The following is a 12,757-nucleotide window of genomic DNA, read 5'->3' as shown; positions in this document are numbered from 1 at the left end:
TTCCAAACATAGTTTATAGATATTAAGATAGCTGTATATCCATATAATGATGCAGTCAGCTGATTTCTAAAAAGCCCATGTGAACATCCATCCCAAACAATGAGAGCCAGCATTCCTTAACATTTACCCAGGAAAACCATACTTCAGACTTCATGGAACAGCTGGCATTGCTAGTTTTTTGCTGTTGTTGTTGTTGTTTGTTTATTTGTTTGTTTGTTTTGAGGGGGATTGGGAGGTGGTTTCTGATAAAGACTGGAAAACTTGCTAGATAAATCGTAAAAAAGCTGTAACACTGGCATTGCTAGTTTTTAAGCTTATTTATACTTCGCTCACAACACGAATGTAGCAATAATGATCGTTTCTATGGTTTTAGTCACATAGTATAGAGATTTTGGTCGTTATCTACCTTCTTGAGACTCTGAGGGTTAAGTGACATCGAAATTCAAATGCAGTTTTGTGGCACAGGTTGAAAAATCCTCCAAAGACTTCGGCTTCAGCTCTCTCTCCTCTGGGTCTCCTTCCCTCTGTTCCTTTTCTCTCTTCCCCTATCTCCACTACTTAGTATTGTTCTCCAAATTACAGCCAAGTGGACAGAATGGAGCATGGAGAGCAGGAGAAACCATGTATTTCTTTCTTTGTTTTTGTTTTGTTTGTTTTTTTGAGAAAGAATCTTGCTCTGTCACCCAGGCTGGAGTGCAGTGACGCGATCTCGCCTCACTGCAACCTCCACCTCCCAGGCTAAAGCAATTCTCCTGCCTCAGCCTCCCTAGAAGCTGGGATTACAGGCATGGGCCACTACACCCAGCTAAATTTTGTATTTTTAGTAGAGACAGGGTTTCACTATGCTGGCCAGGCTGGCCTCGAACTCCTGACCTCAGGTGATCTGCCCTCTTTGGCCTCCCAGATTGCTGGGACTACAGGTGTAAGCCACCGTGCCCAGCCTGAAACATGTATTTCTTTAAATAGGAATAAGAACTTTTATAATAATAATAATAATAAATTGATGTTTTAGTTGCTTTGAGTGTTAAAGAATCAGTGAATTGAAAATTTGGTTAAGCTGGGCATGATGGTTCATGCCTGTAATCCCAACACTTTGAGAGGCTGAGGTGGGAGAATCCCTTGAGCCCAGGTGTTCGAGACCAGACTGGGCAACACAGGGAGACCCACATCTCTATAAAAAATAAATAAATAAAATAAATAAAGAGAATTGCCATACTGGGCACATAAAAATGCAGGACACCCGGAATAAAGAAAATAACAAAAAAGAAAATTTGTTTTTAAAGTTCTCATTTTCTATTTATTATGCATATTAAAGGGGCATGACCTAATATATATAGTATGCTACATTTATATATTACCAGTCACAATAGTAGGATGTAGAAGACATTGTGGAAATATTTGTTGTACTCCAGGATAAATTTTGGGTTTTGGCAGTTTTGGGGGTAGTTGAAACATCCTAAAGAAAAATAAACATAGTGCTATATTAGTTGTCTTGATAGAAAGGGGAAATGGTTCTGATCATCTAAACCAATATATTGTATGCTCTTAGTTCCCATTCAACTTTGGAATGCCTGTGAGAATGTTTTAATTACAGATTTTCCTTTTTAGACATGTTTTTCTTGGACAAACAATGAAATTAGTTTGCATTAGATAAGTAAACATCAAGTGACCCCAGGGGCAGACCCAGCTTAGCATTACATTTTTGCTGCTGATAAACCCATATGCACAAATGAGTTTTGATACTACACAAATAAATGAGGATTATATATGAAAAACATATTCAGGGAAAGCACATTTTTAGAATGGGGACATAGGGGAATAGCAAGGAGAAAAGCCAGAGACACAGAAATGTATCAGTATCTTCTTAATATATCTAGGAAGACTTCATGGAGGCAGAAAAGAAACAAAAAAAATGTCATCTATCTGACTTTTCTTCCTTTCCCTCATGGAATAATGAAGTCAAGGCCTACACAAGCATGACTTTTGATAAGGTTGGTAACCAGAAGATCTAAGAATCTTTGTGTTGCTAAGTTTGCTGTTGTCAGCAGCCTATGATATGAGCTTTAATTCACCAGTTGGATATGCTGCAGGATTTGTTCTTTAAAGGAATGGCAGCCACCAAACATCTCATAATTAAATTACAGAAGCCGGGAAGTGTATAAAGCCTGTTCGAGTAGGCTTGGACAGCTGAAGACAGGCAAATAGGAAGCTAGAAGAGATTTTTATCACAAGAATTAAAAAAGGAAATATGACAGAGTGCCAGCTCCATCTTTCCTACTGTGTGACAAGAGAGTGCCTGAGTTTGCAAAATGAAAGATCGAGAAAGATATCCCAGAATTTCTCATTTTCAATCCTATGTGTGAATTGAGCTTTTTGCTCATTTATAATGGTTCCTATAACTGCCTTCCCTCCTCTATTTCCTGTAAAATTGCACTATGAACACCTGTCATACCAATTAAATTAAAGAAAAAAAAAAAAGCTAATGAATGCCTCCACCATTCTCCTACAGTCCCAAGCCAGAAAACTTGAAAATCATTATTAAGTACTTCCTACTCTTTCCTAAATGCTTCCATAATGTTCAATTGATCTAGCCAACTAGGATATGATATATCTAAGATCAGTGGGAAACTTTTTGAAAGAGGCAAATACTTAAAGAAAGGTTTAGAATATAAGTTAGACACAAACACACACACACACACACACAAAACACACACACCACTGCTCATTTATTTTTCTGTCATACTCCTATTCTCCCTAATTTTTCCCATTAATTAAGATTTTGTGTTTCAGAATTGAGTTCAGCCAAATTGAAGTTTTCCTGTAGTGACTATGAGAATTTTCTCAATCTTTTGGTGGAGGTTATCCAACACAGAATATTTTTATTTTATTTCCTATCCACTAACCATGGGCTATAGGAAATTTCATTCCATTAAATTTCATCTCTAGAAAATGAACATCTTGATGATAGAAGCTGATTCTGGCAGAATTCGTACATGCACAGCAGAACCTGATGCGACCGAAAGATTCAGTTCATCCTACTCAATATGCCTCCTTGGCAGCAATTATAGGCTATCTTCATTTCACGGCCAAAAATGGGCCTTGCTTTGCCAATTGAGGACAGGCCATGAAGTAATAGGAAGAGGACAGGGAATAAAGGCAACAGAATTGGGTTCTAATCCAGCTTTGTTTACTAGCTTGGGAATTTCTGAGCAAATTACTGAAACTCATCTGGTCTCAGTTTCCTCACCAGTAAAATAGGTCTAATAATAGCTATTTCATACAATATTTCATTAATTTGTGTACAGTGAAACACTACATAAAGTCTTGTAATTAGTACTATTAATAGAAGTAATAAATCTATAGTTTTTTATAGTGTATAAATAATCTGAGCTAAATGTTATTTTTCTCTATTCAGCAAAGCAAGAATCTAATAAATATGGAGAGAAATGACTTCTGGTGTGTGTCCTTGATGTTTGACAAAATGAGAAAAAAATGCAACCAAATAGATTAGTTTTAAAATACTGTGTGCTGACAGAGATGAGATTCTAAATCTATTTTCCACATTTTAGCTGAAAATGCTTTACCTGCCAGAATTGGTATTGGCCAAGACTTCAAAAGCTTCCCAAACAGTAATTACTACAGTAAAAATAAGAAGGCTACAAGAAAACAAGTAGGAGCAATCCAGATTTTTCTACTGTTTAGCAGATGTGGAAAAGTAGTAAAGGGATATTGTTAAGTAACTTGGATATAGCCTAAAATTTAATATCAATCACTGTTTTTTTAATAAAAGAAAACTGCTTTAAGTATATACTATGCAGAAGTTATTCTGCCAAGTACTTAGTTTGTCAAATATTGTGCTAAATAAAAGGAGTTTAAAACGTGAACTGGGCATTTAGTATGCTTACAGCTGAGATGAGGAGAGAAAGAAAGCCTATGTTCTTACAAAGTTAATTAGTAATGGAAAGTCCTGTAGACGTAAACATTAAATGGAAGAGATTTCATTAGTAGAAGAGAGCCTATCTCTAATGGAGGTGCTGATGCAAAATTCTGTCAAAATTTTGTACAAACTGTGTGAGCTTGGATGAATTTCTTCATCTCCTTTCATCTAATTAATGGAGCCTCATATAGTTCAACAATTCCATGATCCTAAATAATAACATTCATAATATGATAATGACATTAATGTTTCCTGTTGGAGGAGACTGTGGTGAAGTTAGAAGTAGCCTCACAGAACAGGTAAAATATAAGCAGTTCCTTAAAAAACAAATAGGATTAATGTAGACAGGAGTTAGAAGAACATTCTCAAAAAAATCATACACTATCTTTAATATATAGAAGGAGTATTCTAAAACAAAGAACCTACTGATGAATTCAGATCTTCAGTTAAAAAAATAACAAGGAAGTTTGGAAATTAAATTGGGGCCAGAAATCCTAGGTTTTGCGTGGCCAATTCAGGAGTTTGGACTTTATATTGTATGCAATGGAAAGGCACTGCATACAGCATATTTGCTGAATGCTCTAAAATCTCCCTGACAGATCTACTGCCTCATGCAAGTTCATCAAGTGTACGTAGATGGCTTTCAAACATTTGTCTTCAAGATAGACTTTTTCTTGAAAAGAAAATAACAAATCCATGGTTTAATTGCTTTTTGAACATCAGCTTAAGCATCTTGATCTCAACAAGCCCTAGACATAAGTTTCTTTAAGCAAAATATAGGAGCTTGATTGTGCAGTTTACTGAGTTCATGACATTTGCATTTGGGTATTGAAGGGTGAGAATGGAAATTGATTGATAGGAATAGAGAAAAAGTGTCTTCGTGGAGGAAACAACAAGAGCAAAGGAATAGAACCACAAAACATCACAGAATGTTAGGTGAGTGATGAATTGTTATGTTGTACATGGATGTACTAGGAATGTGCATATGACTGCAGTCCTCAGAATGGACCTGCTTTGATGCACAAATAAAGGATAAGTTACAGAGTAACTGCCACAGTAAAATCCAGAAAAAATCAGGGTCTAGTTTAAGTAGATAATGGTTGAAGGAAATTAATTTTTAAAATAATACATATAAACAGTCAGACAATTCTAGGTACTGATAGAATGTAAGTGACAGTCAAAAAAGAGAAAATGTATTCGCTGCAAGATGTGCAACCTGTGCACTGAGAACTTCAGATTTGAGTTACAGATAACCAAAAAGGAGAATTTTGATAAAAGGATGAGCCCTGTCCTCCTCTTCCATAGTAGTCAGACTGAGGCAGCAATGTCTTGCAGAAGTGAATTATATGTAAATTTAAAAAGTACATGTTATCATAGTTTTTTAAAGAAGGAGTTTGTTCACCTTTTTCTAAGTAGAATACGTGTGCCATAGGAAGATCTTGTTGAAGTTTAGTTATCGAGAATATTCCACTTCAACTATAGGTGGAATATAGAACTGAAAGAAAGAATACAATGACATTAAACATTTCTAAAACTTTGAAACCATGCTCTTTCTGAAACTGACTTTATCCTATCATGCATCTTGCCTATACTTCCTGTATATAGTCGTTTTGTTGCATTTGCTTTCTTGTGTGTTCAGGGAATTATAACACCTGAATCCAAATCGGTAGTTCTTCACTCTCACCACTGTGTCTCCTTCTCACATTTAGCAGGCTCCTTTACTCCTACCATTTGTTTGTGTCAAGCAATATCAAGAAATCTGGGAAAATCAATACTAAATAAGTTACAATAATGTTTTCAATATCCTATCATCTACTTTAATGTGCACGTGTTTTCTGTCACTCTTCACTCACTAAATCCATTTTGCAATCAGTTAGATATAACTTAATATAAACATAATCCTTTCCTGAATGACCTAAAATTTCACTGCACCAGAGCCAGCTCTACTGGATCAGTCATTTTTTGGAAGTTGAAAAGATTAAAAAAAAAAATCACAGAAACAAATGCCACATTCATCTCCAGTAGTCACACCTACTGAACAGGGTCTGTGGCTGGAAAAGTTAATGCAGTTCTCCCTCAGTATCTAACAAGGGATTGGTTCCAGGATCCCTGCAGATACCAAAATACTTGGATGCTCAAGTCCCTTATATAAAATGATGTCATATTTGCATATAACCTAGGTATATTCTTTTGCATACCTTAAATCATCTCAAGATTACTTATAATACCTAGTTCAATGAAAATGCTTTGTAAATAGTTGCTATACTGTATTTTTTTATTTGCGTTATTTTATTGTTGTACATTTATTTTTATTTTTCCAAATACATTTGATTCATGGTTGGTTGAATCTGTCTGTGGAACCCATGAATACTGAGGTCCTACAGTATCTGGAAAAAAGTGAGTAATAACTTGGGCCTATAATTTTTATATTCTTTCTTCACTTCAGTTGGGTTAACAGTGTTAATTATTTGTCCCAATGTGAACTGCCAGACTCATTGTTTCACCAATACACAGAGAGAAATTGGACACAAAATTTTTGGCATTGAAAACTTCAATAGATTAACTTTTTGAAATAATTTTCAAATAGATCCTAGAGTTTCATAGAAAATCTTCTTCGCTCAATTTGTATTCCACAGGATAGCTCTGCAATGTATTAGAATGGCTGTGTGTGTTTTCTGACATTTTCACTGTGCATTTGATAATTTTTCAATTTTGCTTTTAGTTTCAACAACTCTTTTATTTATTCAATTGCAAATGTAGGATATACTTACTATATAATGATTGACTAGAACAATAAAAACTATTACTTTTAACTTGGATACTATGACTGTACTACAAGTATATATTTACTATTAAACAATTATATTCTTACTTTTAATGGAATGTATTATTATCATTCCCCATGTGTTATTAAAAATAAAAATATTTAAAATGTTTATTATAACAAAAAAGATTTCCAGTTTTTACAAGATAGCAAACAAAAACAACTTGAAAACATTTTCTAAACATCTAAAATGCTCATTAATTATAGTCACATAAAATAGTAATGCATTGCTGAGACTGTGGAGAAACCACAACAAACACCCAAACAACAACAATAAAAATTCCACAATAAATTTCTAGATTCTGGAATCAAAGCCAGTAAGACCTAGAGATAATTGTTTTCATGGCAGATATGGTGTCAATGGCATGTAAGCATATGGCTATTGATACCCATACAGTTAAAGAAGTCTAAGCTTTAGACACGTGCAAGTCAAGAATTTATAAATGAATTGCCTGGATGAAACTAGTTAAAGAATGAATAAGAAAAAGCTTAACCTGTCATTCGAGGAAACATGGATAGAACCAGAGGATGTTATGTTATGTGAAATAAGCCAGAAACAGAAAGTTAAACACCGCATATCCTCTCTCATATGTGGAAGCTAAAAAAAAAAGTTGATCTCATAGATGTAAAAAGTAGAACAGAAAATACTAGAAGCTGGAAACAGTGGAGAAAGGAGAGATAGGGAGAGATTTGTTAAAGGATAGAAAACTACAGCTAGATAGGATAAATAGTTCTAGTGTTCTATACCACTGTAGGATCACTGTAACTAAAGATAACATATTATATAGTTTCAAATAGCTAGAAGGAGTATATTGAACATTCCCAGCACAAAGAAATTATAAATGTTTGAGATGATGGACATGCTAATTATCCTGATCTGATTACTGTACATTATATGTATCAAAACATCAGTATGTACCCCATGAATTTACACAATTTATGTCAATTAAAAATACAATTAAAAAATCTGAAAATAAATAACAAATGAGGGTGAAACTTTTACTGAAAAAAAATTAGGGTCAAGAGCAAAGTTAACACTATTAAATAAATAAATACATTTGATTTCATATTAAAGGATATTCCATGGGGAAAATTTTTTTTAATTTTAACCGTTGCCATAAAGGCCCCAAGGAAGCTTGTCTCAGCCTTTTCCCTGTCTTCAAATATCAAGATATTGGATCTCTGTTCCAAAGACAAGGAAATGCTATAAGTTGAGATTACCAGGTGATAATGTAGGTTCCTTTTCAAAAATAAATGAAAACTTCTGGAGAGACAGATTCAAAGTCCAGGAAGTTCGTACCCTCATTGAAGGTGTGTTTAAACTTAAAAATTATTTAACACACAAAAGCATATCTACCATAAGGAATAGTCAGCAGACATCAGTAAATAATAATGTCACCTGCAACTTCTTTCCATTCTTTTTGTTTTTAATTTTTAAAATTAGCATTATTGCAATAGCTGGGTCCTCCAGCACAATGTTGAATAGAAATGTTAAAGGATGTTCTTACTAAGTTTTTTCTTTTATTTTAGGGGAAAAACATGTTCAATATTTCACCATTAAGTAGAATTTAAGTTGCAGGTTTTGTTTCTTTGTTTAAGATGCTCTGGATCAACCTGAAGAAATGCCCTTCTACACACCTATATCAAGTTTGCTGAGCACTTTTTATCATGAATGAGAACTGAATTTTTCCAATGTGTGTTTCTCATCTATTGAAAGGACCATCATTTTTTTCTTTTATTTTGTAAATATGATAAATTAGATTGAATGATTTTGAAACTACCTTACATATCTGGTTATGATGTATTATCTTTTTAAACTATTTTATGTATTACATTTGGTTATATATTGCTAAACATATTCACAACTTTATTTATGAGGGTCATCTGTTTATAATTTTTTTCTTCCTTTCTTCATTTACTTTCTTCTTTTCTTCCTTCTTTACTTCCTTTTCTCTTTTTTCTTTATTTCTGTAATATCTGTTGAATTTTGCTCTCAAGATTATGTTAAGTATATATATGAAAATAGTGTTCAACATCACTAATCATCAGAGAAATGAAAATCAAAACCACAATGGGATACCATCACATACCAGTCAGAATGGCTATTATCATTTTTATTATTTGAGACAGGATCTTGGTGTGTCATCCAGTCGGGAGTACAGTGGTGCTATCACAGCTTACTGTAGCCTCTATATTCTGGGCTGAAGCAATCCTCCTACCTCAGCCCCCCAAGTACCTGGGATCACAGGCATGTGCCACCATGACCAGCTAATTTTTTAAATTTTTGTAGAGGCAGGGTCTCCCTATATTGCCCAGGTTTGTCTCAAATTCCTAGGCTCAAGTGATTCTCCATCTCAGCCCCCCACACTGCTGGAATTATAGGCATAAGCCACTGGGCCTGGCTGGCTATTATTAAAAAGTTAAACAATAACAGATGCTGGTGAGGTTGCAGAGGAAAGGGAATGCATACACACTGTTGGTGGGGATGCAAATTAGTTCAGTCACTACGGAAAGCTGTTTGGAGATTTCTCAAAGAAATAAAAAGAGAATTACCATTTAAGCCAAGATCCCCATTCCTAGGTATAGACCCAAAAGAAAATAAATCTTTCTACCAAAAAGACACCTGTACTCATATGCTTATTGCAGCGCTATTCACATTAACAAAGACATAGAATCAACCCGGGTACCTATCAACAGTGGATTGGTTAAAGAAAATGTAGTACATATACACCATGGAATACTACACAGCCATAAAAAAGAAAACAATGTTCTTTGCAGAAACATAGATGCAATTGGAGGCCATTATCCCAAGCCAATTAACACAGGAATAGAAAGCTAAATACCATATGTTCTCACTTATAAATGGGAGCTAAACATCTAGTACACAGGGACAGGAAGATGGGATCAGTAAACACTGAGGATTCCAAAGTAGGGGGCAAAGGGTTAAAAAAATTACTTGCTTTGTAATACACTTGCTACTTGGGTAATGAGATCATTAGGAGCTCAAACCTCATCATCATACAATATACCCATTTAAGAAAGCTGCCTATGTACCCCCTGAACCTAAAATAAAATAATAAAATTAAAAAATGTTATGTTTACTTTATAAAACAATTTGGAAGGTGTTTTCTTTTCCTAAAGGACATTATGATTGGTGTTCTTATTGAATGTTTTATATAATTCATTGGAAAAACCTGGGCTAGGAATTTACTTGATGAGAAATCTATGATAGTTAATCCACATACTTTAATAGGTAGATGGCTATTTATTCTTCCTGTTGCACCTTATGTAAATTTTTGCTAGTGCTAATTTTTAAAGAAATGTGTTTATTTCTACTAAATTGGCATGAATGTTTTTATAACATTTTAATATTTTTATATGTATATGTAGCATCTTTAGTAACCGTCCTTCTTTTATTCCTGATATTAATGTTTTGTGTTTTCTCTTTTTATTTTTATTCAGAATTGCTAGACATATCCCAACTCATCATTTTGTTAAACTGTTTTATTGTATATCTGTTTTCAATTTCATTGATTTAAGCTGATAGCTTTATTTTCTCCTCTTTACTTACTTTGGCTTTACTTTGTTCTTTTAGTAGCTTTTGGAAGTAAAATATTAAATCATTGATTTTAAATTTTCTATATTTTCTGTATATATTTAAAGCTTTACATTTTTCTGAGCTTTGTCTTGCCTGTATCCCTCAAATTTCATGTATTTTAATTTTATTTCATTTGAAATATATGGTAATTTATTTGTGATTTATTTTTAAAAATTTGTTGATTAATTTCTAAATATTTTATTACATAACATATTTTAATTGATTTCTTAATTCTATTGTGCTTGGAGGATATTCCTTCTATACAATCATTTATTTTATTAAGACACAATTAGGTAAGAGAGTGGACAATGTTGTCCTGTGTCTTTACTGATATTTTTCTCTAGATCTAGTTGTTTTTATCAATTGCTGGGAGAGAAAAATATTAAAATTTTCTACTTTGACAATGAAATTATAAGTTTGTATTTACAGTCAATTTTTGCTTCATGTATTTTGAAATTATGTTTTACACATTCTCATTAACAATTATTATATCTTCTTGATAAATCACTAATTTTTTAATGTGTTTGATATAATGCTTTGCCTTGGGGTCTGTTATATCTGATTTTAGTACAGCAACTTCAACCTTTTATGCTTTCTGTCTATATGCATATGGTTTTCATCCATTTACTTTCTACTGTTTGTCTTTAAAGTGCTTCTCTTGTAAGCAGTATATAGTTAGGTCTTACTATTATATCCTGTCTGATAATCTCTGCCTCTTAATAGAAATGTTTAGTATATTAATATTTAGTAATAACAATGCAATTAACAGAAACAACTTTAAGTCTACCATTTTATAAGTTATTTTTGTTTATCTCCTCTCTTTTTAGCCTCTTTTATTTTTCCTATTTTCTTTTACATTATTTGAGGTTTGCTTCTGTTGTGTTTAAAATTCTGTCTTAACTACACACACACACACACACACACATACACACACGTACCTTTACAATATTGCTTTTTAGTTCTTGCTCTAGGGTATACATCTTGTCAACCTAAATAACAAACAGGGAGACTCTCTAAAAGAAAATAACATCTATTTGGGAATAAGCATTGCAATGAGAATACATGTACCATGATGAATTATGTGCATCTTCAGGGAGGTAAAGAAAAAAACATTTTTAAAAAAAAAATGAAATATATACCATTGTTTTGAATTAATTGTTCTTAGCTATGAATATCAATATAAGACGTGGTGCCAGACTGAAATTAAACAGCCTGTTGTTGGGAAGATGCCGTTGCAGAAGTATTTTTTTGTATAGGGTTGTGATGACCTTTGTGTAAGGTAATGGTTTTTGCAGATTCTTTTGTGATTGTTTGTGTTATCAGGTATTTGTGCATGAGAACTCTCCCCTCGTGGACTTCCCTGGCTCTACGTGTCCGTATTTTTAGAACTAGCAACTCCATTTTGATTATGACAGCTTTCACAACCTTAAACTTACTCATGCTAGTTTCTTCTAAGGTTCAAATCCCCTCCAATTTTTTTCTTTTTATTTAGATTTATACTCTAGAGAGATCAGAAATTTGCACTTGAGGTTTTTTTATTTGTTTGTGTCTTATACATAGCATATAGTTATTATATAAAGGATAACTAATTTATTAGAGCCTATTCACCCTGCCAGATGTGAAAACCCTAGTAATGTCATTTTATGAGTGAAAAAAAGAAACAAATGGTGAGGATTTACTACTCATAAACCTTGTATTGAAAGATTGAAAGAACTATGAATGGACTTCAAGAAGAACAATAACCCTAATAGAGGTAATGGAATGCTATAAGCAATGTTTAATGACTAAATTACTAGAGCTAATGGGGAATCTAAATTAACATATACTATATAATAATAATGATGATGATGAATATTGAACTAGAAACAAAAAGAACTTTCAATGCTTGACATGACACACATAATATGAAAGAGAAGTTGTAAACTCTTTAGAAATAATTTCAGCTGAAAGAAACAGAAAACCTACCTAATGGTGGCTGAATTTTGTAGCTGCTTAGAAAGCACACATTTAGGATTAACATGTTTGATAGTGAAAGACAGTAAGGAAGCAGTGACATCTGAAATGTATTTTGGTTTGCCAATCATATAGCTTTATTTTGATAAGAAGGAATAAGTGTATATGACTTTCAATTTTTTAAAGTAAAGTATGTGTTCTAAAAACATAAGTGTGGCCTTTAAAATAAGAGAAATAGAATGGAAAATTATATATCTCTAGGATGTAAAAATAAAATAGTAAAATTATGGTAAATTCAGTAAAAGACAAGAGAAAATGAAACAAAGGAATAGTTAAAATGAGGACACAATATAAGTTGGTTTTAACAAACCCAAATGTATCAGAAAATAAGTAAATGTCAATAGATGTTTATTAAAATACAATTAATTTCAGATCAGAAAATTAA

The 12,757-nt window shown here is 33.0% G+C and overlaps 1 non-coding gene across 1 annotated transcript; it reads right to left on the bottom strand.

Moving 5' to 3' along the window:
• Window positions 1-231: 231 nt before the first annotated feature.
• Window positions 232-295, bottom strand: LOC124904364 (U7 small nuclear RNA). The gene has a single exon (XR_007066478.1). It is a non-coding gene; the product is annotated as a U7 small nuclear RNA (small nuclear RNA).
• Window positions 296-12,757: the final 12,462 nt, after the last annotated feature.

This window comes from Homo sapiens, chromosome 18 (genome assembly GCF_000001405.40).
Source record: "Homo sapiens chromosome 18, GRCh38.p14 Primary Assembly".
Lineage (NCBI taxonomy): Eukaryota > Metazoa > Chordata > Mammalia > Primates > Hominidae > Homo > Homo sapiens.
This window is presented reverse-complemented; position numbering and strand designations above follow the sequence as displayed.